Raw genomic sequence first — 27832 nt, forward strand, 5'->3', positions numbered from 1 at the left:
GGATAGCAGTGTCAGGAGGAAATGTTTGACAAGTTTTCAATTCAAAGGCTTTTAATATCCATTCCAAACTGTATAGCAAGTGTGTATTCTACATACAGTCAACCAGTCCATATGACCCATGATAAATATCAAATTTATGTTCTTTTTCCTTCATACACAGGCATGCACATATACACACTGTTTAATCTGCTGGTGTTAGTTCTATGAGTGGCCCAAATCACATGTGGATGTGGAAAGGGAACACCACACATTGAGATTTCCTTTGGTGATATGCTCAACCCTTCATGCTGCACCCCCACCCTGATACATAGCCATAGAGTCTTCAGGCATGTGCTGAGCACCTGGTGTGTGACATGTACCGTGCAGGGTTCTTAGGACACTAGAATGATCCCTGGCTTCAGCGCACTTCCCATCTGATGGACAGACATATGAGCATGATTTCAACACATAAAAATAAGTGCTCTCATGGAGAAATGCATGAGAGATGGTGGCCTGATTCATTCAACATTTTTGAGAACCTGAGTGTCAGGCAGTGTTCTAGATGCTCAGGATCTATCAAGTGAACAAAAGAGCCAAAGATATTCACCCAAAACGAAACACTTGCAGAAAACATAAAAGGGCTCATACCTGAGTTCTGAGGTTTGCCCTGTATTTACATGACAAATGAGAATTTCAGCGAACAAAACTGAATGGCTTCTATACACTAGCAATAAAATGAGCCAAAAAATGAAATTGAGGGGAAGATTTCATTTGCAACAGAATCAAAAAGAATAAAGTACTTGGGAAATAATTTAACAGAGTAGACTTGTCTAAACATGCGGCCAGGATTTCAAGCCCCCTTACCAGTGAATTAGCAAGAGTGGAACTCAAACATCCTTATATTCTGCTCCCAAGTTCCATTTTATGGTATCAGTGGGGAAGTTCAAGTTGCAATTTTGAGTTCTTGTTCTTTTTTAAAGACTACTTCTGTGAGTAGCCGTGAAAGGCTTCACTGTTCATCACAATCTGCCTGGCAGAAGGGGAAGTGAAGGGCACTCGGGGATGCCTCCATGCTAAATGCACTATTACTGATGAATACTGGAAAGAACGCTGGGTGAAACAGCATCTTCAAAACATGAAGGTGGGGCACCAGAGGTCCCAGACTTTGTTGTGGGGAGCACCTCTGTCCCCACACTGAAGTCTTGCAGCCTAGAGCTGGGGTATACTGACAGACAGCTAAGAAGGGAGGTGATCTCAGCACATAAAAGGGGGCCTGAAAGGTGGGTGTCCACTACTTGGCAGCATAGAAAGCAGCCAAACCCAGGGATCCAGCCCACTGTTCTCTGGGCTCACCCACATTTACAATGACAATCCCTTAGGACAAGGTCAGGGAAGTGGCTTTTGTCTGTGATCAACAAAGTGAGGTAACAAATGACCAGCTATGTACATCTTCTTCATACATGTGTAGCCCTTGTATGAGAGATGCTCTGGTCTCTAAGGGCCCAGGCTCCATTTCCAGTTTCTCACTGCCTGAGCCCACTCCAGGCCTTTACAGATGCACCGGTGGTGGAGCCTCTGCCTAGGAAGGATTAAACACTGATTAGTCCGTCACATCCTGCAACAGAATTCCTTCTGGTACCCAGGCCACTCCCTGCCTCTTCTGGTTAATGTTTTGTGACTTTATTCTAGTGGTTTTATCCTGGCTCTGTTTCCTGACTCCGACTGTGTTCTGATCCTTATGTGAATACGCTTCACAGCTTTGGCCCTGTTAGGTTCTTTGCTCTTACCATTGGTTCAGTCTTTGAAGTTCTGACAGAGGCATATGGGTTTCAGTCTGGCTTATTTCCTGCCTCTCGGGCTCACAGCCACTCCAACCTGCTACCATCTCCCCCCAGGATCCTTGGAGGTAGAGAGGAAATAATTTTAAACATGGGTTAAATGATTGTTAAAGGTCTAAGCAACTGCAGTTTCACTAGGACAAATGTGGGTGACTTAAAGGGAATGACACTTATTGGCATGGATGTGTTTAGGCATGATTTTTATTTATTTATCTTAAAATTATTGCAACTTTGAAGTCATACATGTGGCTAAGCACCTGCATTACTCACCCACCTTGCCCATCGCATTTGCTCTCTTAACTCTTGGGAGGCCCCGTTTGCCCCCTTTGACCTCCCCCTCACATTCCTGTTGTGGCCACCAAAGAAGGAACAAACAGCTGTGAGAGAACAGTCCCAGAGTTCTCTGCTCATCCTGTGAACCTTGCCAACCACACAGAAGGCAGAAGAGCTGTGAGCAAGGCAGCTAGTTTTGTAAGGCACACTTTGCTCTTCCAGGCCTATGGACAGGCCAAATTACCTTGCTCTGCTCCATCTCTTACATTTGCCTTGTGTGACAGATAAATTGCAGTGGAAGTGAGTGAATAAACATGAATTCTTTTAACTGCATCATTGGTTTTAAGATAAGCTTAGATCAACAACAGTTAATGGAAATTATTAAACACTTATAGGATGTCAAATTATGTGTGAGGACTCAAAGATGAATAGAGCAGGGTTCCTGTCATCAAGGAATGCACAGTCTAATGGGGGGGTAAATGTTTAAACATGTTGACCACAGTGTACAACGTGTGAAATAATAGAGGCATCTGAAAATACAGCAGCAGTAGGGAGAACTAATTGATTCTACCTGGAGGTGTCACTTGAAGGAGCCACAGGTGGTGGCCACTGAGATGCTTTAAAGGAAGAATAGGAGTAATAGGAGTGTTCCAAGTAGATAAGAAGAGAGAAAAGAAATTGCAGATAGGTAGAAATAACATGTAAAAACATGGTATGGTTTAGGAACTGTATTAGTTTTCTGTTGCTGCCATAACAAATTACCACAAACTTAGTGGCTTAAACACAAATTTATCATCTAATAATTCTGTAGGTCAGAAGTCCAACCTGAGCCTCAGTTGGCTAAAATCAAGGTGTAATCATGGCTACATTCCTTTCTGGAGGCTCCAGGGGAGCATTTAGTTGCTTGCCTTTTCCAGCTTCTGGAAGCCACCTACGTTCCTTGACTCATGACCGCCTTCCTCCATAGTCAGCAACAGTAGGTCAAGTCCTTCTCATATTTCAGATCTTTCCTCCTTCTCCTTTCATTTCATGTCTCAAATCTAGCCAGGAACAATTCTCTGCTTTGAAGTACTCACATGATTGGATTGGGCTCACCTGGTTAATCCACAATAATCTCCCCATCTCAAGGGGCCATTCTTAATCACATTTGCAAAGTCTCTTTTGTCATGTGAAGAAAGCCATCCACAGGTTCCAGGGATTAGGACATGCACATCCTGGGGGATGCGGGAGATTATTCTACCTACCACAGGAATTGTAGTTGCTATTACAGAACCAAAAGCATCATGGGAGATAGAGGGAGGAGACAGGTTTGGAGAAGGCGGCAGCTACCAGATAATGAAGACCCTTGTACACCATGTTGAGGAGCCTAGACTTAATTCTGAAGGTGATGAGGTCCTTTGAAGGGTCTAAAGCAAGGTGAGAATTGTGTTTCGATGGAGCATTCTGCTGGCAGCATGCAGGACAGACTCAAGGAAGACAAGTAAGGAAGTCCTCAGTCAGTTTACTAATTTATAGTGTACTGGCAGTCTGGTTACTACAGGTTGCTGAGTGATGAAAGGGGAGGGAATGAAGGGACAGAGCAGAGACTACTCTTTTGAGAAGAATTGAAATGAAAAGTCAAGGAGAGAAAGAAGGTAATTAAATGGGAGCACTATGCCCAAGATGGATTTTGTCTTGTTTGTTTTTGAAATGAGAGAGATGAGCAAATTTATAGGTTGAAGATAATGATAATGATTATAATAAAATAGCTAACACTGATTAAGACTTTATTTGTACACTAAGATATTATACTACATATGTACATTGATTCATTTTTTCTCTCTTACAACTGAAGAGACTGAGGCAAGGACTAGTTAAATATCACTTCAAGTTACATAGTTTTAAAAAATAGCAAAGCTGGCCAGGCATGGTGGCTCACACCTGTAATCCCATCACTTTTGGGGAGACCAAAGCAGAAGGATTGCCTGAGACCAGAAGTTCGAGACCAGCCTGGGCAACGTAGTGAGATTCCATCTCTACAAAACATTTTAAGAAAACCTAGCGGGGCATGGTGATGCACACCTGTAGTCCTAACTACTTGGGAGGCTGAGGCAGGAGTATCGCTTGAGCCACAGGAGTTCGAGGCTGCAGTGAGTTATGATTACACCACTGTACCCCAGCCTGGGCAACAGAGCAAGACTTTGCCTTAAAAAAAAAAACAAAAACTAGCAGAGCTATAATTCAAAACAAAATCCACTTGACTTGTGATATACTTGACTACTAGACTATGCTAGCCAGTAAAAAAGAAGAAGTAGGGCCGTGCGTGGTGGCTCACACCTGTAATCCCAACACTTTGGGAGGCCGAGGTGGGTGGATCACCTGATGTCAGAAGTTCAAGACCAGCCTGGTCAGCATGGTGAAACCCCGTCTCTACTAAATATACAAAAATTAGCTTGGCATGGTGGCGGGCACCTGTAATCCCAGCTACTCAGGAGGCTGAGGCAGGAGAATCGCTTGAACCCTGGAGGCGGAGGTTGCAGTGAGCTGAGATTGCGCCATTGCACTCCAGCCTAGGCAACAAGAGCGAAACTTCATCTCAAAAAAAAAAAGGAAGGAGTAGAGATTAAAAGGAGAGAAGCTATTACTGATGACTCAATGCCTAGGAAAAGGTAGGAGAGCATATATTTGAAAGCACAGGTGGAGGAGGAAAGGAATATGTGGCCTAATATTTTCTGTGAATGAGTTAGGTGTGTGAGAAAGCTAAAGCTTGAGATAACCTATGGGAAAAGTCAAAGGAAGCAGTTTTGAGAGCTCAATGCATTTGGAAACTACTTGAAATGGCCGTATTGTTTATTTCCAGCAGTGAGAGGGGAGCAGGCGAAAGGGAGATGAGAGTGGTAACCACTTATGCTTTCACATTTATATTACCTTCCAAAGCATGCCAGCCATTCCCCAGAATGAAGCCAACCCACTAGGTAATGTCAAAGAAGTCACAAGAACAGGGTAGGCAAATAGCTGTGACCACCTTGGACAAATCCAGGTTCCCTGCACACACCCACGCAAACACCTAATTCTTTCCTCATGCTGACCCCCTTCCAGATAAACTCACTTGGTGAAAGCTCTTACTGAGCTATTACTTCCTTGAAATGTCCTAGAATTTCCATTTTTGAAATTTTTTCCATATTGTTACATGTCATCCATGAATCATGAACTCTTTTTAAACTTTATCTCTAGAGTAAATGTTTCCTTCCAGTCACATAATTGCCAGCAGGGCAATTCAATAACACAGAATCTATTGTGAAATCATATTTATGAACTTATGACATTATATCTAACCTTTCATTGTGTATGCTCTTTGACAATTTAAGATTGAACTTTGTGCTATATTTCTTAGATTCTGCATTTTTGAAACATGACAAACTTGAGTTCTGCACCCACTTGTATCATGCAATGTGAAAATGCAACCATTTTCCATGTATGATATTGTTTATGAGTGAAGCATTTTTATCTGCTAGAACTTAGTGTGAAGTTTCTAACCAGGGATCGACCTGCTTAAAGAGACAGTTTATAATTTCACAGAAAAGTCACTTTTTGATGAATGTTGACGTCTAGATTATGATTTTTTATGTTTAAGGCAGCTAAAATCTATTCTCCACAGTTTAGTTTTTTTAAGAGAGATTTGTTTTTTTAGAGGAGACTGAAATAACAAAGTTTATCAACTAACATTCTGAACATCTATGACTTTACCTTTTCCAATTTATGTAGAAACTGCAAGAACATATTCAGGTGTTTTACCCTGTCAGCTTTCTTTGCAGGTTTGTAAGGCACCAAAGGCCAGCAGAATGATAGAGACAGAAAACAGGAAAGGAAACCTCTGTAGTTTTCCTGCTTTTCTGTGGCCATAAAACTAGCCAACATGTATCCTTGGCCCACCTACAATTAGGCTTCAAACCATTGCTGTTTTTTTGTTTGTTTTCTGAGACGGAGTCTTGCTCTGTCGCCTAGGCTGGAGTGCAGTGGTGCAATCTCGGCTCACTGCAAGCTCCACTTCCTGGGTTCATGCCATTCTCCTGCCTCAGCCTCCCGAGTAGCTGGGACTACAGGTGCCTGCCACCACGCCCGGCTAATTTTTTGTATTTTTAATAGAGACGGGGTTTCACCGTGTTAGCCAGCATGGTCTCGATCTCCTGACCTCGTGATCCGCCTGCCTCAGCCTCCCAAAGTGCTGGCATTACAGGCGTGAGCCACGGCGCCTGGCCACCATTGCTGTTAAAGATGGGACTCAACTTAGGGGAAATACAGTTGAGCATTCAGTAAGTCAGAGCTAGAATCTGCCTATATCTGCCACTAGGACCTGATCACAGTACTCTCTAAATTCTAATTCTCTCTAAATTCTGCTCTAATTCCCTCTTGTTTACAGTGATAGTCTGCAAGCACATTTTTAATAGCCTTTTGTTATTAAAAGTAATACATATTGGAAAAATTAGAAAACACAGGCAAGCAAAAATAAAAACATAAAAGCAGCACATTCTTACTACCCAGAGCACATCATTTTAACATCTTAGTTCTTATCCTTCTGGATCTCTATATATTCACATACTCATATGTAAAATAAGATCATCTTCTACGGACAGTTCTTGCTTTCTGGCTTAACAAGATGTCTCAGCTTCACTTTGTGTCTTCCCTGTACCAGACCTGAAATCAACCATTTCTAACACTTGCTGCTTCCTTTTAGTGGGAAATAAGATTAAAGACCAAAATGTATTAGGAGTGCTCATTGTTGTTAATGTGGCATTATTTCTAGACCATTATATATTTTTTAACCTTTAAGTTTAGTGATACAAGTGCAGGTTTGTTACGTAGGTAAACTTGTATCATGGAGGTTTGTTGTACAGATTATTTCATCACCCAGGTATTAAGCCTAGTACCTATTAGTAGTTTTTCCTGATCCTCTCCCTTCTCCTCCCTTCCACCCTCTGACAGGCCCCAGTGTGTGTTGTTTCCCTCTATGTGTCCATGTGTTTTCATCATTTAGCTCCCACTTATAAGTGAGAACATGTGGTATTTGGTTCTCTGCCCCTGTGTTAGTTTGCTAAGGATAATGGCCTCCAGCTCCATCCATGACCCTGCAAAGGACATGATCTCATTCTTTTTTATGGCTGCATAGTGTTCCATGGTGTATGTGTACCCCATTTTCTTCATCCAGTCTATCACTGATGGACATTTAGGTTGATTCCATGTCTTTGCTATTGTGAATAGTGCTGCAATGAACATACACATGGATGTGTCTTTATAATAGAATAATTTATATTCCTTTGGGTATATACCCATTAATGGGATTGCTGGATCAAATGGTATTTCTGTCTTTAGATCTTTGAGGAATCACCACTGTCTTCTACAATGGCTGAAATACTTACACTCCCACCAACAGTGTATAAGCATTCCTTTTTCTCCACAACCTCAGCAACATCTGTTATTTTTTGACTTTTTAAAAATTGTTATCTTTAGTTCTGGGGTACATATGCAGGATGTGCAGGTTTATTACATAGGTAAATGTGTGCCATGGTGGTTTGCTGCACCTGTCAATCAGCCCATCACCTAGGTATTAAGCCCAGCATGCATTAGCTATTTTTCCTAATGCTCTCCCTCCCCCAACTAACAGTAGCCATTCTGACTGGTGTGAGATGGTGTCTCATTGTGGTTTTGATTTGCATTTCTCTAATGGTCAGTGATGTTGAGCTTTTTTCCATAAAATTGTTGGCATTGGCCACATGTATGTCTTCTTTTGAAAAGTGTTCATTTCCTTTGCTCACTTTTTAGTAGGGTTATTTGGCTTTTTCTTGTAAATTTACATTCCTTATAGATGCTGGATATTAGACCTTTGTCGGATGCATAGTTTGCAAAAATTTTTCCCATCCTGTAGGTCATTTAATCTGTTGATAGTTTCTTTTGCTGTGCAGAAACTCTTTAGTTTAATTAGATCCCGTTTGCCAATTTTTGTTTTTGTTGCAGTTGCTTTTGGTGTCCTCATCAGTAAATCTTTGCCTGTGTCTATGTCCTGAATGGTATTGCCTAGGCTGTCTTCCAGGGTTATTATAATTTTAGGTTTTACATTTAAGTCTTTAATCCATCTTGAGTTAATTTTTATGTACGGTGTAAGGAAAGGGTCCAGTTTCAATCTTCTGCATATGGCTATCCGGTTACTCCAGCACCATTTACTGAATAGGGAGTCTTTTCCCCATTGCTTGTTTTTGTCAGGTTTGTCAAAGATCAGATAGTTGTAGGTGTGCGGTCTAGGCTATTTAATGGACAAAGCTAGGGAAAAAAATTTTAAGCATGAGTTAGTTCATACTTGTATTTGCAATTCAATTTTAACTTTGTAGTGTTTTCACTAATTTGATTTTACAATTGTATCTCTTTTACACAGAAAATTGATTTCTAATGTAATTGACATTAAAGTTTTCTTGAGTTTACCATAAAAATCACTCTTTTAAAGTGTTTTTAATGGCTTTTAGTATATATACAGAGTTGTATAATCATGGCATAATTGTAGAATATTTCCGTGACACCAAAGAAACCTTGTGCCCATTAAAAGTCATTCCCCTCACACTAGTTGTCTTATGTGTAGGAAACCACTAAATCAACTTTCTGTCTCCAAAGATCTGCCCACTCTGGATATTTCATATAAATGAATAACATAATATGTGGCCTTTGGTGTCTTGCCTCTTTCACTTAGTGTATAGATTTCAAAGTTCATCCATGTTACAGCAGGTATCAAGACTCCATTCCTTTTTATGGCTGAATATTCCATCCTATGGATATATATTTTTTGTTTGTCCATTTGTCAATTGATGGACTTGTAGGTTGTTTCTCTTTTTTTTTACTATTATGAATGACGCTGCCATATTTGTGTCCAAGCTTTTATATGAGCATATATCTTCAATTTAATTGAGTACACTCTTTGCTTTTTCACGTGGATTTGAGTTATTGTTCCTTCTTTCCAGCATGAAGAGCTTACTTTATTATTTCTTATAAGGCAGGTGTGCCAGCAATGATTTTCTCTATTTTGGTTTATATTGGAATGTCTTTATTTCCTCTTCCTATTTGAAAGATATTTTTGATGGATATAGGATTCTTGGTTGACAGGTATGTGTGTGTGTGTGTGTGTGTGTGTCTGTTTTTTCTTCACTTTAAATGTGTCAGCCACTGCCTTCTCCCTTCCATTATTTTAGATGAGAAGTTACTCTTATGTGATTCCCTTGTACATAATAAGCTGGGGTTTTTTGTTTTGCTTTTTGCTGCTTTGGAGATTTATCTTTATCTTTGGCTTTCAGCAGTTTGTGATGTATCTGAATGTGAATATCTTTTTGTTGATTCTACTTGGGATTCTTTGAGCTCCTGAATATGTTTTCATCCCATTTGCAAAGTTTTTTATTTCTTTAAGTTTGTTTTCTGTTCTCTTTTTCTCTAGTTCTCCCATTACTTGTAATTTAGTGGGATTAATGTCCTCCATTTCTGTGACAATCTGTTTGTGTGTCTTCATGCTTTTTCTCTCTGTTATTCAAATTATATACAGTAGTCCCCCCCACCATCTGCAATTTTATGTTCTGCGATTTCAGGTATCCGTGGTCAACTATGGTCCAAAAATATTAAGTGGAAAATTCCAGAAGTAAACAATCCATAAGTTTAAATTGCATGCTATTCTGAGTAGTGTGATAAAATCTCTCATGTTCCCACACCATCCCACCTGAAATGTGAATCATCCCTTTGTCCAGCATGTACACACTGTGTATGCTACCCACCCATTAATCACTTAGTGGCTGTCTTAGTTACCAGGTCCACTGTTGCAGGATTGCTGTGCTTGTCTTCAAGTTACCCTTATTTTACTTAATAATGGCCCCAAAGCACAAGATCAGTGATAGTGGCAATTTGGATACGCCAAAGAGAAGCCATAAAGTGCTTTCTTTAAGTGAAAAAGTGAAAGTTCTCAATTTAATAAGGAAAGAAAAAAAAGTTTGCTGAGATTGCTAAGATCTACAGTAAGAACAAATCTTATCTGTGAATTGTGAAGAAGGGAAAATAAATTTGTGCCTAGCATAAATGGGTTTGGTACTATCCATTCAGGGATCCTCCTGGGGTCTTGGAGCACATCCCCCATGAATAAGTGGGCACTACTGCCTTCTCTACTGATCTACAAGTTTACCGATTGATTCTTCTGCTTGCTCAAATCTACTGTTGAACTCCTCCAGTGAATTTTTCAATTATGATTTTCTACTTAGGAATTTCAGTGTAGCTCCTTAAAAATTTCTTCTTACTGACAATCTCTATTTGATGCATTGTCATCATACTCTCCTTTAATTTTTAAAACATGGTTTCTTTCATTCTTCAAACATATTTATAATATTTTCTTTGAAGTCTTTGTTAAATCTAACGTCTGCATCCTCCCTAAGAAAGTTTCTGCCTGTTGTTGTTGTTTTTTTTTTTTTTCCTCTGCAGAAAGGAACTGGGGATCTCACTATATGGGATGGGGGTCATATTTTCTTGTTTCCTTGCAAGTCTCATAATTTTTCATTGTAAATTGGACATTTTAGGTCATATATTGTAACAACTCTGGATTCTGATCCTTCCCAGGCTTATTGATGCTGTTTTGTTCTTGTTATTGTTGTTCATCTATTTATTTGTTTAGTGACTTGGCTGGACTAATACTGTGAAGTATATTTTTCCCCCGCAGTAGGCAGCCTCTAATGTCTCTGCTTAGATAGTTGTTCCTTGTTTTTTTGTTTTTAAACTTGAATTCCTGGGTGTTGCCCTCGGTCAGTCACTGATTGGTCAGAGGTCACGCTTAAGCTCACTGAGCCAGTAAGGTTTTCATCCTTTTCCACTGGGTCTGTGTGTGGCTTGGGAACAACTTTTGGAGTTCGAGGAGTTTATATATCTGCCACTTTTAACTCAGGGACTGACTTGGAAGTACCCTGTCTGGTTGATCTTGGGTGGTCACAGCCGTGGGCTTTTCCACAGTCTCCTGGACCACCAGTATCAAGTGTGAATTTTTTTACTGTCCCTCGTCCCAATTTCTCTGTTAAACTTCTGCTGGTCTGCATCTATTAGCATCACAAAACTATTAGCCTACTCTGTTAGCCCTTATGATATCTGTTTTTCTATGTCTGTTATTTTTTACATTGCTCTGGGACATGAATATCCTACACTCTGTTCCAAATAAAGTCAAAGGCAGGGCTGCAGAGCTGCAAGTCCTCACAGCTTGCTCAGCCCCCAACCTGGTTAGAGCCTCTGTGTTACTGAGCAGGAGCTGGGGATATGGGGAACTCTGATCTGTTTTGTTTGCCCTGCCCAGGGTCTCCCTGTAGAGCAGGACATTAGGGAGTGAGTACTGGCACTACCGAACAGCTACAGCTGCCCATGGGGAAGAAGGGGAGGATGAGTGCTGAGTGCTACCGTTTCTTAGATCTTCACCTGGGATAGATCTTGATCCTCAGCAATAGGAAAGTGGGGGACATGGGCACCTCACTGGCTGCAAGCCTGCCCAGAATAGTTCTGAAACCTGAAGCTAGAGGGATGGATGCAGCCCATGGTTCAAATGCCACAGTTTCTTGCTGAGCTTCAGTAGATTTTATTGAATAAGTGTTTCTCAATTTATTATATAACCTTAGGTCAATTTCCAGAGACTTTAAATGGTTGTCTCAGATTATTTTGACCAGTTAAATCAATGCTTCTTTTGTTTCTTTTGTTTGTTTTTTTTTTTTTAGACGGAATCTCACTCTGTCACCCAGGCTGGAGTGCAGTGGCGTGATCTCAGCTCACTGCAACCTCTGCCTCTGGGGTTCAAGCGATTCTCCTGCCTCAGCCTCCCAAGTAGCTGGGACTACAGGCATGCGCCACCATGCCCAGCTAATTTTTTTTGTATTTTTAGTAGAGATGGGGTTTCATCATGTTGGCCAGGCTGGTCTCAAACTCCCGACCTCAGGTGATCTGCCCGCCTCAGCCTCCTAAAGTGCTGGGATTACAGACGTGAGCCACAGTGCCCGGCCAAATCAATGTTTCTTTGAAGGAGAGAATTCATCAAACTCTTCATCCCACCATTTTGGAAGTCCCACCCACCCCCTGGATTGGTCTGTAATTTATAATTTTACTTATTTGCTTTAAATCAGCAGCCCCCCAACCTTTTTGACACCAGGGACCAGTTTCGTGGAAGACAATTTTTCCGTGGGGCAGAAGGAATGCTTTTGGGATGAAACTGTTCCACCGTAGATCATCAGGCATTACATTCTCCTAAGGAGTGCACAACCTAGATCCCTCACATGCGCATTTCACAATGGGGTTTATGCTCCTATGAGAATCTAATGCCACTGCTGATCTGTCAGGAGGCAGAGCTCAGGTGGTAATGCTCACTTGCCCGCTGCTCATCTCCTGCTGTGCAGCCCAGTTCCTAAAGCCCAGGGGCTGGGAACTCCTGCTTTAACTTGCAATATTAAAACATTGCAAAATGCCAAATACAATCATTTACTTAAAATAAAACTGCAGAATGTAGTTTCAGTATTCTATCATTTTTTTTTTTTGTATCTATCTCTTCAAACTTTGGCCTACCTTAAGGCAGAGCCTATGTTATATTCATTTCTGTTTTTTTTATGCAGGGAGCATTAAGTAGGAAGTAATGGTCTTTTTAGCTTAAGAACAAAACTAAATACTATCTGTTTTTTTGAATATTTGAGTCCACAATTACCTTACCCAGTAGTTTACCTTCAGAAAATGGCTGGTTAGCTAGTTACTGGGCTAGCCCCTAGTTGGTCTTCATTGTACCCATATACATACAAACACACACTCACATATTTACCTTTTCATAATCTTTTCCCAGCAACTTTTCTCCTTTAAGTGTGTCCATTTGTAAAGGCTTTTTTTTTTTTTAACTTATTAGATTTTAAAGCCATAGTAACTATGGTCTGTATACTTTGGGAAACCAATGAAAATGTTTGAAACATGAAATAAATTATATATTGGCTAAAAAATACTGCAGAACCAAAATAAATATCTGTAAAATGTAACATTAAGTCGACTTACCAACAGCAACTCAACAGTTAAAAAGTTACAAATAGACCGGGCGCAGTGGCTCACGCCTGTAATCCTAACACTTTGGGAGGCCAAGGCGGGTGGGTTGCCTGAGCTCAGGAGTTCAAGACCAGCCTGGGCAACATGGTGAAACCCCATCTCTACTAAAATACAAAAAATTAGCCAGGTGTGGTGGCATGCGCCTGTAGTCCCACCTAATTGGGAGGCTGAGGCAGGAGAATTGCTAGAACCCGGGAGGTAGAGGTTGCAGTGAGCCAAGATAGCGCCACTGTACTCCAGCCTGGGCAACAGAGCGACAATCCATCTCTGGGGAAAAAAAAAGTTATAAATAAATTATATTTAAGGTGGCATATGAATAGATTTTAAGATATTTGATACAGGTAGAGTATCCTCAAAGGTCTTAAAGATCTTGTTCACCATATTTCACCCATAGATTAAAAAAATAATGAGGGTTGTAGGGATTGGAAGCCAGGCCTGGCACCAGATAGTATGGCCCTCATGAAAGATCCCCAACACTTTCACAAAGAAGAAATGGTTTCATAATGCATTTAACATTTTTCTACCCTGATGCGGGTAGAAAGACCACGAAACCCCACTGTATAGACTCAGACTTTTGCATTTTGATAGCTGCATTCATTCATTTGCTAACAAATATAAGCAATTTACCTAGCACCTGGGTATACTGTGCCTGGGATTATACTGTGCCTGGGATTCTAGTAATACTTTGGCTGAGGATACAGTGAAGGACAAGGTAATCTGGGCCCTTTCCTCATAGGTCTTATATACTAGCTGGGGAAGTATAAAAATGTTTTTAATAATGTAAGTAAATTTATTCTTGCAGATTGTAATGTTATGAAGCTCAGCGTTCTTTAGAGGTAGGAGCAAGTACACGTGGTTATCTTCTTTAGATTTGGAAGTCAGAAAAGGCCTTCTTATGAATTCATATTTAAGCTGAGACATGAAGAAAGACTTGGAGTGAAGTAGGGGGAGTAAGGAATGACTAATCAGAGGCCCTGGAGAAAAAGAGAGACTCATACATCTGTGGAAATCAAAGGCAGCCAGTGTGGCAGAAGCAATGAAGCACTGGGAGCTTAAAGAGTGTGTTGTGAAAGGAGGCTGTGGGGGTGTTGGGGTCAGGCAGGACCTCAAGGTCTTGAATACCAAGGGTCTTGAATTTTATTCCACTTGAAGTGTTTTGATCACCCAGCATAACATAACCTTGTCTGATTTTTAAAAAGATCTCCCTGGCAGAAGGGCAGTTAGGAGGTTTAGTAGTGGTCCAATTGAGAGATGATGAGACTTGGGCCAGTGGGATCAGGGAAGGAAGAGGAAAGTGGATGAATTCAATAAGCACTTTAGAGGTAAGGGCCAGGCTTTCACGCCTGTAATTTCAGCACTTTGCGAGGCCAAGGTGGGTGGATCACCTGAGGTCAGGAGTTCAAGACCAGCCTGGCTAACATGGTGAACCCCCATCCCTACTAAAAATACAAAAAATTAGCTGGGCGTGGTGGTGTGCCCCTGTGGTCCCAGCTACTTGGGAGGCTGAGGTACGAGAATCACTTAAACCCGGGAGGCAGAGGTTGCAGTGAGCCGAGATTGCACCACTGCATTCCAGCCTGGACGACAGAGTGAGACTCCGTCATAAATAAATAAATAAATAAATAAATGTAAGAACAACAGGGCTGAAAAACACAAATATTCTCTTTAGTTCTATTTTGATACTGTCACTAGCAGTTGAAGTCAAACCTAATACAAATGCTCATTGCATTATGATTTTAGGATGGTAAAACTTTAGTGTTTGACGATGTTTTATGATGTCTGTTAACTAATTATCACCTAACTCAGAAAACAGATCAAAAGTCATTTTAACTAGAAATAAAATGGGAATAAATAGTACCTCTTTATGCATTGGAAAACTTTCCATGCTTCTTTGACAGCAGAGGCAAAGGCATCACGGTACAGGGGAGTGATCGTGGGTTTTTGGAGCTGAACCACTTGGGTTTAAATTCTCACCCTGCCTTTAACTAGCTCTATAACCTTGAACAAATCATTTTTCTAAACTTTAGTTTCAAATGGAGATGATAATCTTTATTTCACAACATTTTTAAGAATGAAATAACTGATGGGCAACACATACTCTAATAGCTGTTCAATAACCATTCATTTTCTCAACTTACAAATAGCCAACCTATAATCTACACTATTCAGATTGTTTGTTAAACCTTGAAATTTTTTTTAGAGTTAGAAGAATTTAACTCAATCCTCTCAATTTCCAGACAAAGAAATAACAGCCTAGGGAGTTGAAAAGACTTGCCTGAGGACACAGAATGTACTGGGGGCAGAATAGAACTAGCACTATTTTCTCCAAACACCTGGCATGTTTCCAGTACACTACATTGCCTCGTGTATCCTCTAATGTTTAATGGAGGATTTTATAAGATAACCATATATCCATTCCATCCCCTGCTTAAGCCTAAAGAGAATGGTGATTAACAGTGACCTTATGTTCTCTTTGCTAGTTACATGCTATGGGAAAACTTCCTGGAACCAGAATGGCAGCGTTAAAAGCCAAGTATACCTTGCTGCATGACGCCGTGATGAGGTATGCAATTTACCAATATGGAGACATGATTAATCACCTTTAAATTTCTTACTGGTGATGAGACCTGTCTTCATTTGCATTCCCCCATAAGCAGACCCTGAGGCAAGGATTTGCGTTCAGGGAGTTTGAGAAGTGGTACGAGAAAGCATCGTGAGAGAGTGGGGAAGTGCGACTGGGAAGGAAGGAATCTAGCCTTGATCAGGCCGTGTACATCTGCGAGTTTATATGATGGGCTACTGGGGCTCAGCCTCACAGAGGAGCCTCTGAGTGGCTCACCTCAGCACTCTCCCACTGAAGAGTGAGGAAACTGGAATATTTGCCCACCAGTTTCCACCACTCATTTATTACAAATTACTTCCAGGGAGATTAGCTCTTGGCACTTCCAGCTTGCGCTTTGACAAACCAAGCAAACTTTGATGGCCAGAGACAGCTCTCAGGCGGAGGGACACAGGTGCTGCTGATACATATGGTAACTGTCCACTAAAGCTGCAGGTGGGCAAAAGGATTCTGGTGGGACACTGACAGTCTCTGCATAGGACACACCTGCAGGACTCTTCTCCCGTGTCTGTTCATCACTCAGAGGTGTAGATTCTCCAACAACCCCAGCTTGAGTCTGCTGAGACCCTGTCTGTACTTCTCACCTCCTCCCCATATCACAAGCTACTTACACCTTGCAAGTCCCAATCACCAACAGGTCAGAAGAACAGGCTATCATAGAAGAGTCCAGCAAGCCTGCCTGAGCACTGGCTATTAGCCACTGGGAATTAAGAGGGCAGGGGAGTGAAGAAAGAGGGAAAACCCTAATGTGCTGTGATTCTTTACCACTCCCAAGCCTCTTTCTTTCCTTCCCCCACCTCTTGTCTCAGGGCCTTGCATTGTATCTTCATCAAAAGCCAAGGAGCAACAGCAACAGATAGAAACTCCATGCTGCCACTCCCCAGCCATCCTCTCCCCGCAATTCCCAATCACTTCCCCTCCTTCTTATCTTGCCCAGAGATATTTGGCTACTTTGAGGGTAAAAGCATGAGGGAAGAGTGAACAACTTGGAAAAGAGCAGAGCTGCATTCCTATGCAAACTTCAAGTGCACCCAGGTTCCTCACACCCCTCCAAAGCCCCCAGCCTTGGTTCCTCATCCTCAAGCCCAAGCCAAGTCCTCACCCCCACACCTAATGGAGGTTCCATTCCCCCGTAGCTGGTCACGCCTGCCAGTGTGTTCTCAGAGTTCTCAAGGCTCAGGAATTTTGAGACTTTAAGTGGAAAGTCTGGAGTAATCTTTTACAACATACTTCACACTGCTTAACTGAGAGGAAATGCCATGCAGTTCTCTGGGCATCCCTCCAATCCTCTTTGCAGATACAAGGAATATCAGTGTTTCCTGCCCTCTGGATAGCTCTTCTTTTTTTTTAGACAGAGTCTCCCTCTGTCACCCAGGCTGGAGTGCAGTGGCCTGGTCTTGGCTCACTGCAAGCTCCGCCTCCCAGGTTCACGCCATTCTCCTGCCTCAGACTCTTGAGTAGCTAGGACTACAGGAGCCCGCCACCACACCCAGCTAATTTTTTTGTATTTTTAGTAGAGATGGGGTTTCACTGGGTTAGCCAGGATGGTCTCAATCTCCTGACCTTGTGATCCTCACGCCTCGGCCTCCCAAAGTGCTGGGATTACAGGCGTGAGCCACCGTGCCCAGCCTGGATAGCTCTTATCTAGAGCCCAGTGGAGATTTGCAGGGTGCTTTGACTTAACTTCCTCCTCCCCTGGCCCACAACTCAGTTCCCTGGCCCCTAATGACAAGTAGCAATGCAGGACCTCAGCTATGGCACTATTTCTTCCTCTTCCAGGTTGTGTTGCAAAACAGTTAACTTCCCTTCTGCTACCCACATTTTACATCTTGACCACTTAGTTCCCTCTAATGCCATTGCAAATACTCACCATTCTCTCCTACTCCCAATGCCTGATGGGTGGGAAAAACATGAAGTAGACTCTTCATTCGTGCTGCTAGGACTACAGCTGGGCAGATATAGCCTGGAAATATTGAACTGAAACTGAATGAGTCTTCCATAGAAACCATGTTATAAGAGTTGTTAAAGTCTCTTCTACTGGTATCATGTTTTAAATACATGTGGGTAAGTTGCGATTTGTGTTCTGGCTGGAACCCTACCACCCTGTCCTTTCTATGCAAAAACAGGCACTGTAGCCTGGTCCAACAGCTTACAATTTCAATAGCTGAAGCCTGACCTATTAAGGAGACCAGATAACTTTAGATTTACAAAGTTTATTAGCATACATGAAAATTGAATTATAGGAGAATAATTCCAGCTTTCATTAATGAAAATTATTTGAGGTATCACTGTAGCTATTGTTGTTGCTATTTGGTACCTAACATCATGCCTGGAACGTGTTATGTCCCAGTAAATGTTTTGCTAGATGCTATTGAGCAAATGACATTATAAAACCTGGGAAAATGGATGTATCTGTACTGAATTGAGAATATCACAAAGGTGAGGCAGACACAAGGTAACTTCAGTTGAGATTGGCTTGATCAAGTCATTGGGCGTCTCTGCAAATGAGCTGGAACTTGAAGATTTATCTTGGTGAGGACAGTTGGTGGGGAGCATACATCAAAAGAGAGCTCTGGCTCTAAAACAGGAAGTGGTGAGGGCTTACTTCAAATAGGAGAGGTAGCTAATATAAGGGTTTCTGGGAAAGAGGAATCATATCTACTGGTAAGGTTGGAGCCGATGCTTGCTGATGCTAGCTTGCAGCATAGAGGAGTTCTATAAGATACTGGAGATTCCGCCATGTCCTTTTTCTACATCCTCTGACAGATGTTTAGTCCTTTTCCCTACATAGGGCCAAGGTCATAGAATATAACTGGGGTTGTAGGAATCTCCCTCTACCGTGACCTTCAAGTCCATCCAGCTCTAACCAGTGTCCAATTTAGAATCAGAAATCTGTAAATTTATTTATATTCATAATTGCGTATGGGAATTTCTCTTCCTAGTTTCCTAATAAAGTGCCATTAGAAAAGTTTCTGTTTTTTCATAGTTCACTAAGTGGGGAGAGATTTTCCTACAATTATGTTACAAGAATTCAAGAGAGCTAGGGTTGTTTGGGGAGTTCAAGGGAAAACCTCCTCTTTCCGTATCATTTATCCCCTTCTAGTAAGTCATAATCATTCTTCAAAGTCAAGTTCAAATGTCACATTCCCATTGAGTGATCCTTTCTCTGTTGTCTCCTGCTGTCTTGATCTGGACACCAGCGGTAGTACTTGTCATCTGGTATTCCTCCGCATCTGCCAGATTGTAAGATTCTTGAAGCTAGGAGCTAAGCCTTATTCACCTCTTGCACCTAGCATAGTACAGTCATCTCTTGGTATCCTTGGGGGATTGATTCCAGGACCTCCTGCAGATACCAAAATCCATGGATACTCCAGTCCCTGATATAAAATGGTATAGTATTTGCATGTAACTTAATCACATCCTCCTGTATACTTTAAATCATTTCTAGATTACTTGTGATACCTAATACAATATAAATGCTATGTAAATGGTTGTTATGCTGTATTGTTTAGGCAATCATGACAAGAAAAGTCTGTACATGTTCAGTAAATAAACAATTTTTAAGTAAACATTTTATTTTGGAATAATTTTAGATTCATAGAAAAGTTGCAAAAATAATATACGAAGTTCCCGTCTATCCTTCACCCATTTTCCTCTAATGGGAGCATCTTACATAACCATGGTCCATCAAAACTAGGAAGTTAACATTCGTATATTACTATTAATTAAACTTCAGATTTTCAACAGTTTTTCCACTAATGCTCTTTTTTTTGTTCCAGGACCCAATGCAGTATACCCCACTATATTTAGCCCTCATCTCTCCTTGATCTCTGTGACAATTTCTCAGTCTTTCCTTGTTTTTTTTAAATCACGTTGACATTTTTTGTTTTTTTTTGTTTGTTTGTTTGTTTGTTTTTTTGGGTTTTTTTTTTTTGAGATGGAGTCTCACTCTGTCGCCCAGGCGGGAGTGCAGTGGCTCAATCTCGGCTGAGATGGAGTCTCACTCTGTCGCCCAGGCGGGAGTGCAGTGGCTCAATCTCGGCTCACTGCAAGCTCCGCCTCCTGGGTTCACGCCATTCTCCTGCCTCAGCCTCCCGAGTAGCTGGGACTACAGGCGCCCGCCACCATGCCCAGCTAATTTTTTGTATTTTTAGTAGAGACGGGGTTTCACTGTGTTAGCCAGAACGGTTTCGATCTCCTGACCTTGTGATCCGCCTGCCTCGGCCTCCCAAAGTGCTGGGATTACAGGCATGAGCCATCGCGCCCGGCCACGTTGACAGTTTTAAGAGTGCCAGTCAGGTATTCTATAGAGCATTTCTCAGTTTGGAATTTTTCTCATATTTAGGCCAGAGTTAGGTGTTTTGGAGGAGAATACCACAAAGGTGAAGCAGACTCAATTTTTTAACAAAAATTTTCCCTCGTGGTTGGTTGAATCCACAGATGTGGACTCACGGACATGAAGGGTCAACTGACTTGGCACAAAAATGTCCCAGAGTTGAGTTGATCTGAGGAGTGGGGAGCAGCTATCCTCACTAGACCCCCACAGGAGCCACCGAGGATGTACATGTCTCATTATGTGAGTCTCTGTTTTTCATGTAACCCAGCACACAAGAGTCAGAGGTCCAACTGCTACAGAATGCCAAACGTTTCACTGAGCAAATACAACAGCAGCAGTTTCACCTGCAGCAAGCTGATAATTTTCCAGAAGCATTCTCCACGGAGGTCTCCAAAATGAGAGAACAACTTCTCAAGTATCAAAATGAATATAATGCAGTGAAGGAAAGAGAGTTCCATAATCAGTACAGATTAAATAGGTAAGTGCACAGTTCTCTCCGGCACACTGAAAAGTCTTTTCCTCATAAATAGAAAAAAATCAGATTAAGTTGGAGGTAATTGAAGGAGTAGGAGATAGCAGTACGATGATGATTGCAAACCTAGTTCTCTTGATTCCTTAGAATGGAATGGGAATTCCCTGAACAAGAAAGTTACACTTCTCGAATAAAAGCTCAGGTGACAGAGATGCCTGCTGTGTTTTTCATGTCAGGAAAGCCATCTCATTGAGAGCTGCAGTCAGAGAACACACTCCACCAAACCAGTTATTAGCATTCCCTTGCCCTTCCCCTGCCCTGGCAGTGGCCCCCTCATCCCATGACTATAGCAGTACCAGAGCACGCATCTGCATGGTGAGCACTTCTCCCCACATGCATTTTCCAAACAAGCCTCCATGAGCTGAGGGTCACATGTCATCTGGCTCACTCTATTCTTCTAAGAGAGCAGCAACAGGACCACATATGCAAACTTCATCTCCTACTACTAGATTGTTCCTCAGGATCAAGGAGAAAAGGTATATCCTTTTGGAAGACACATTTACTTATCCAAATTTAGAGGACGTCATTTAGTGAACTAAAGCAGACATTAAGTGCTAAAAGGGGAAATGTTATCTTCAAAATCTCTTCTAACATTCCCCCCATGGAGTAGCAAGTCACTGGAGGAGTTTGTTCAGCAAGTCATACTATTTAGATTGAATTTGAAAATGATTGCAATTCAAGTTTTCTGCTGTGGTGTGCTGTGTGCTGTGCCTGGGTACAGGAGAGAAAGCAAAACCGTTTCTCCTAGAGTTTGTTACCATTTAAGGTGGCAGAACTTTCTCTGGCTATTTTTAAGAGTAGGTGGACTTCTGACAGTGCAAATATAATTCAGTCCTTCCTAGAGATAAGCAAGTGACTTGAGCAACCTCTCAAAGACCTTGTAAGCCCTGGGTTTAAAATCCTCTCTTTGGGGCCTATTTTTTCACTGGCGGTGGGTGGGGGTGGGGTGTGAATAAAGAAGGTCAGTTTAATCAAGAGATCCTATTCAGGGGGGAAAATTGGAGGTTTTTTTGTCTTTCAATCTAAACTTGTTTCAGGCTTACCAGTGAGATCTATATAAAAAGAAAGCCCAGTTATTTCTGTGCTCTGTAAGTGCTCTTTCAGTTGAGAAAATAATGAAATTAAAACAATTGGTGGTTGTTCATTAGCATTGAAAATATGAATGCTTGACATTTCCATGAAAGAGTAAGAAGAACATAAGTCAGTTGATATTTAAATTGTTTAAAATTTCCAACTGTTCCTGCCAAGAGAAAAAAACAAAAACAAAAACCAGAACGGTTGCCCTTTAGGTATAGACAGGCACATTATTCACTGAGATGGGAAGGAGACAATGCATACTGACCTGCGGTGAATAAGAACATTCAAAATGCACATTTGCAGAAATGTTTAGTGTGTATTCTTTTTGAATTTATAATGTATCATTCTTAAGCTTGAGAAGATTCCCTTGCATTCTCAAATATTAACAGCTCAAGAACAAGCTTATTTTCATAAAAGTAATGGTGATGCCAAAAGAAATACCAGTAAAGAATGAAGGGCTATGCATTTCATTGGCTTAACATATTTAGTATCACAGTCATGCACCACATAATGGTGTTTCAGTCAACAATGGACTGTCTATATGGTGGTGGTCCCGTAACATTATAATGAAGCTGAAAATTTACTTTTGCCTAGTATTTACTATTCGATACATTTTATTTTTATTTTGGAGTGTACTCTTTCTACTTATGAAAAAAATATTAACTGTAAAACAGCCTCAGGCAGGTCCTTCAGGAGGTATTCCAGAAAAAGGCATTGTTATAGGAGATAACAGCTCCTAAATACCTGCCAGTGGGACAAGATGTGGAGGCAGAAAATAATGACTTTGATGCTGACCCTGTGTAGGCCTAGGCTAATGTGTGTGTTTATGTCTGTTTTTGTTATTTTTATTGTTGTTGTTTGTTTTGAGACAGAGTCGTGCTCTGTCGCCCAGGCTGGAGTGCAGTAGTGCAATTTTGGCTCACTGCAACCTCCACTTGCTGGGTTCAAGCAATTCTCTGCCTCAGCCTCCTGAGTAGCTGGGATTACAGATGCCCACCACCATGCCCAGCTAATTTTTGTATTTTTAGTAGAGACGGGATTTCACCATCTTGGCCAGGGTGGTCTTGAACTCCTGTATGTCTTTGTTTTTAACAAAAATGTAAAAGTAAAAAGAAATTTAATTAAAAACCTTACATAATAAGAATACAAAGGAAGAAAATATTTTTACACAGCTCTACAATGTGTTTGTATTTTAAGCTGTGTTATGAGTCAAAAGCTGAAAAAAGTAAATTTTGTAAAGTAAAAAAGTTACAGTAAATTTATTATCAAAGAAAAATATTTTTTATAAATGTAGCCTAAGTGTACAGTGTTTATAAGGTCTACAGTAGTGTAAGTAATGTCCTAGGTCTTCACATTCACTCACCACTCACTCACTCACCCACTGACTCACCCTGAGCAACTTCCAGTCCTGCAACCTCCGTTCATGGTAAGTGCCCTAGACAGGTGTACCATTTTTTATCTTTTATGCCATATTTTTACTGTGTGTATTCTTTGTTTAGATACACAAACACTTATTGTGTTACAATTGCCTACAGTACTCAGTCCGGTAACCTGCTATGCAGGTCTATAGCCTAGGTGCAGTAGGCTTTACCACATAGCCTAGATGTGTAGTAGGCTACACCACATAGGTTTGTGTAAGTGCACTCCGTGATGTTCACACAATGATGAAGTTGCCTAACGACGCGTCTCTCAGAATATATTCCCATTGTTAAGCAGCACATGACTGCACATGACACAGAAACCAATTCCCTCCACACCCTCCCACTGACCTCCTTCCCCTGGAAAAAGTAGATATTTCCATCCCCACATAAAAATAAAGAGATGAAGCTAATGAGAGAAAACTATTCATCCACATATACAGATGATATTTGTCAGACCAGCACAACAAACTCTTATTGAGTTTCTAGATAATAGAAGCCCAAATAACTAGCACTCCTCCACCCCAATATCTTCAGGAACTTCTGAATCATTGGCAACTACTAAGAACAACTTATTTTTCAAATACTCTAGAGAAAGGATTTTACTGTGTAATTTTGTCAATTTTTTTGTGTATGTTCACATAACATAAATCTTTTAATGTTAATAAATCTAATTATCTGGTTGGTTGGTTGGTTAGTAATTAAATCTATGTTGCAGTAGTTTCTGTTTCTGGATTAATATTTATGACTTGATAAGTATGCAGTTCAGGAAATAATATGTAATCTATTTAAAGTTAAATTAATACATTGTAAATCCATAATAAAGTAATTAAATACAGTTGAGCTTACTTTTTGAAACAAAACAGGAGTACTTACCTCTCTAAACAGTTTGAAAAGATTTTTCAGTACTCTCTTCAACCTTTGCCTTGCCTTGATTGTGTTACCTTTTGGGGCTTCCCTGTTTTCTAGTAATTCCTAAAATTTTACAGCAAATACGTTGCGTCTTTCATGCAAAATCTGACACATTCTGACCAGTCTTGGTCAGTTGGGGGAAACAAGGCTGTGGTGAGCTGGCACTGTCTGTTGCACTGTGAACCCGGAGAGTGGGAACACTCAGGCCGCACACGTGCAGGGCTGTCCTGACGTGACCCTGACCTTGGTGACTGTCTACTCTCCCGTGGCTGGTTCCTGTGGTCCTTGTTGCACATTCAGGGTTTATTAGTTGTTTTCCATTCTTGGTCCAGTGCTGATAGCAAAGTTGGAACCAAGAAACAACAGATCTGGTAACAAAGGAAAGGAGGAATGATCTTAGCAACACATCTGGAATTCCAGAAAATTAGAATGTGACAGAAGAGGCATGTAGGTACTCAGGAGTAGTCACAAGGAAAAACTCATAGCTAGAACAGATTTTACCTTAACTTAAAAAAAAAAAAAAGTTTGCTCTTCTGTGGCAACAAATATCTTAAAAGAACTAACTTAGTTAGAACAGGTTTCTCTGAATGTGTTTCTCATTACTCAAAAAGAAGCACCTGAGACACTTGTTTGAAAGGAAGATCCCATCCAAAAAGTAATGATTATGATTTTTGCCCCAGCCCACCGCCCCCACCCAAAGTGACATTTGCTTATGTGACTCTGACTCACATTATAGTTAGAGGACCGTGGGTTCCAAAGGTGGTTCTCAGCCCTGACTGGTCAGTCACCAGAGTCTCCTCTCAGTGATCATTCAGTCTATGCATAAACACTTCCAGTGACAGGAAGCTCTCAGCCTCCCACAGAGGCTCACGCCAACTTTGGAAATGCTCCTACACTTAAATGGTTGTTGGATTTGTTTATAAACCTACCTTCTTGCAACTTTCACCCATCCATGCTGTTTCTACTTCTGTGGTGAATGATGCCTCTCACACATGTCAGCATATCGGGCTTCCTGCATTATCTCTTCACCCATAGATCCTTAAAACCAAAAGCCTTTTGACGTTGCTTTAGAAAGGAAGTAAATCCTAAGGAGCTTTGATGTTGAAGCACCCCTTAGTCAGGAAAGCTGAAAAATGTCAGATTTAAGTTTTAATGCAAGTTTGAAAGGTTAGGAGTTAATACATACCAGGAGGCATAGAAACAGAAACATGTTTTTGCCCCAGTAATCCCATGCAAAAGTGATAACCCAAAAGGAGAGAAAAAGATATAATGCATAAAGATATTGATATTTATGAAAGTGAAAAATTGGAAGCAATCTGAATTCTCAAAAAATGTGGAATATTTAAATAATGCATTCCAGAAATACCTTGTTACTGAACCTCTGTAGTCAGAGCGGTATTTGTGTGTCAGTTTAGCTTTGACTGTGTGACTTTGGAAAAGTTGCTTAACTCCTCAGTTTCTTCATTTGTACAACAAAAATCACAATTCCTACTTAGCAAGGTTGTGAATTTTAGATATGATAAATTTAAAGCACCTGGCACACAGTATGTTCAGTATATGATAAATAATACTTAAGATTATTTTATTATGGTATATCTACCCAGTAGAAAACCTTGTAAATAGCTATTATTATAAAGTCTGTTTAGCAACTTAGGAAAATATTTTAATTAAATGTTAGGTAAAAATGGATTCAACCACACATATACATTTAAAATAAGTTTATTAAAAGATAACAGGGAAAATAAAAATGATCAACCATGTGTGATGGAGTAGGATTATAATCTTTAAAAATAGAAAAATACATTCCTTTTAGAGGAAATAAGTCAGTATTTCCTAATAAAAAAAGAAAAATGTATCATAGAAATGTAAGTTTTAAATGTCCTAAAGAATTAGTCATTTTATGTTTGTTTAAACATAAAAATATACTTAAAGGAAAGACCATAAGTCACATCTTGTGAAAGAGCTTGCTGTCACCATTTTGAAACTCAGAAATACTCAGGTTGCCTTTACAACCGAAAGATAGTAGCACACTACTACCCCCTGGTGGCAGCATGCCCGAGGTGTAGGATCAATACCTGGGAAGTAAAATACCACTAATGTATATGCAAGCTCTAAAAGCAAAGGCATAACTATTTAAAGATCTAAACTCAGCTTCAATTTGTGGTCTAGACAACTAATCTATATTAAATTCAATGTGACACATGTATTACAAAATTCATCTACATTATTGCAAATAAAATGTCAAAAATAACATAATCCCATTAAAAAGTAGGCAAAGGACATAAATAGACATTTTTCAAAAGCAGACAAATGGCTAAGAATCAAATGAAAAAAGTTCATCACTAATCAGAGAAATGCAAATTAAAACCACAATGATATATCATTTTATACCAGTCAGAATAGCTATTATTAAAAAGATAAAAAATAAGATGTTGGCGGAGTGCTGAGTAAAGGGAACACTTATACATTGTTGCTAGGAATGTGATTGGTACAAGCTCTATGGAAAACAGCATGGATATTTCTCAAAGAACTAAAAATAGAACTACTAATCCATCTGGCAATCCTACTATTGGCTATATACCCAAGAAAAAGAAATCATATCCAAAAGATACCTGCGCTCATATGTTTATTGCAACACTATTCACAATAGCAAAGATAAGGCATCAACCTAAGTGTCTGTCAAGAGATTGGATAAAGAAAATGTGACATATATATACAATGGAATACTATTCAGTCATAAAATGAAATCATGTATTTTGCAGTAATATGGATGGAACTGAAGGCCGTTATCTTAAGTGAAAAAAACTCACAAACAGAAAGCCAAATACCACATGTTCTCATAAGTGGGAGCTAAGTAATGTGTACACGTGGACGTAGAGTGTGGACTAGTAGATACTGGAGACTTAGAAGGGTGGGAGGACAGAAGGAGGGTGAAGGATGAGAAATGACTTAATGGGTATACATGTATATAATTTGAGTGATGGTTGTACCAAAAGCCCTGACGTCACCACACTGCAATATATCCATGTAACAAAACTGCACTTGTATCCCTTAAATGTATACAAATGAGAAAACCTGGTGTGCATGTGCTTTTAGCTCATGTTCCTAGATCTATGGACTAGTGGGATCTGGTTATTTGTTATAACCAGTGGACATAATTGTCTGTGTATTCATTTATTTCATATGATTTTCCAAGTGTGATCAATACAAACTTTAAAATCTTTCCATATCGGGAAATCATATGACTTCTTTGGCACTTAATAGTTAGTCATTAAATAAAGAATAGCAAGAAAAATGAAAAATATTTCTCTAGATTTCTTCAGGAAATCTGGTCAATAAAACAGTTCAAAATACGGTTATTGGAAGAAACACGCAATTATATCGAACTCATTTTGTTTAGAACATTCAAGCTATTTGAAGCAATTTCCAAAATGTCATTCTAGCATCGTGTCCTCTCATCTTATTAGTTAAAATAAAAATATAAACTTTTTTTGTATTTTCTCATGAATAAGTGAACAAAACCATATGTTCCCATTCACTGTCTGTACTTTCTAATGTTTTTATTTCTTTTGTTTGTTAATCTCAATTTACAATGATGACTGGCTTTTAGAAAAACTGACATTTCTTTCTATAGATGCCAAGTATATCCAATTGATTGATGGGATTATTGAGTTTGACTATGTCCTTAACTGATCTTCTGACTTCTGGATCTGTGCACTTTTGATAGAGGGATGTTGAAGTCTCCAG

General features: G+C 40.2%; 1 protein-coding gene and 1 long non-coding RNA gene across 10 annotated transcripts in view, besides 1 other annotated feature; one reads left to right on the top strand and one right to left on the bottom strand.

The window, feature by feature from the left end:
- Nucleotides 1-27832, top strand: part of CCDC146 (coiled-coil domain containing 146) — a 172590-nt gene that overhangs the window by 98662 nt on the left and 46096 nt on the right. For 5 of the 9 annotated variants that reach the window (XM_047420662.1, NM_020879.3, XM_047420664.1 and 2 more), the window contains 2 exons: nucleotides 15671-15753; nucleotides 20415-20624. The exons of 1 other annotated variant lie outside the window; for it this stretch is intronic. In XM_047420662.1, the coding sequence (XP_047276618.1) occupies nucleotides 15671-15753; nucleotides 20415-20624 (293 nt within the window). Of the gene's footprint in view, nucleotides 1-15670; nucleotides 15754-20414; nucleotides 20625-20657; nucleotides 21155-27832 lie in introns of those variants that run through there. 3 more of the 9 variants (XM_047420665.1, XM_047420668.1, XM_047420667.1) reach the window with 3 other exon arrangements.
- CCDC146-AS1 (CCDC146 antisense RNA 1) lies at nucleotides 34-27432 on the bottom strand. The gene is made up of 2 exons (XR_007060387.1): nucleotides 24050-27432; nucleotides 34-1878 (listed from the first exon to the last, which is right to left on the bottom strand). It is a non-coding gene; the product is annotated as a CCDC146 antisense RNA 1 (long non-coding RNA).
- Nucleotides 26030-26079: a silencer, noted in NCBI's record as "silent region_18319". NCBI's record gives its function as "represses an Ori minimal core promoter by ATAC-STARR-seq in GM12878 lymphoblastoid cells {active_cell/tissue: GM12878}" and the evidence as "EXISTENCE:reporter gene assay evidence [ECO:0000049][PMID:35858748]".

The sequence above is a fragment of the Homo sapiens genome, chromosome 7 (assembly GCF_000001405.40).
Source record: "Homo sapiens chromosome 7, GRCh38.p14 Primary Assembly".
Lineage (NCBI taxonomy): Eukaryota > Metazoa > Chordata > Mammalia > Primates > Hominidae > Homo > Homo sapiens.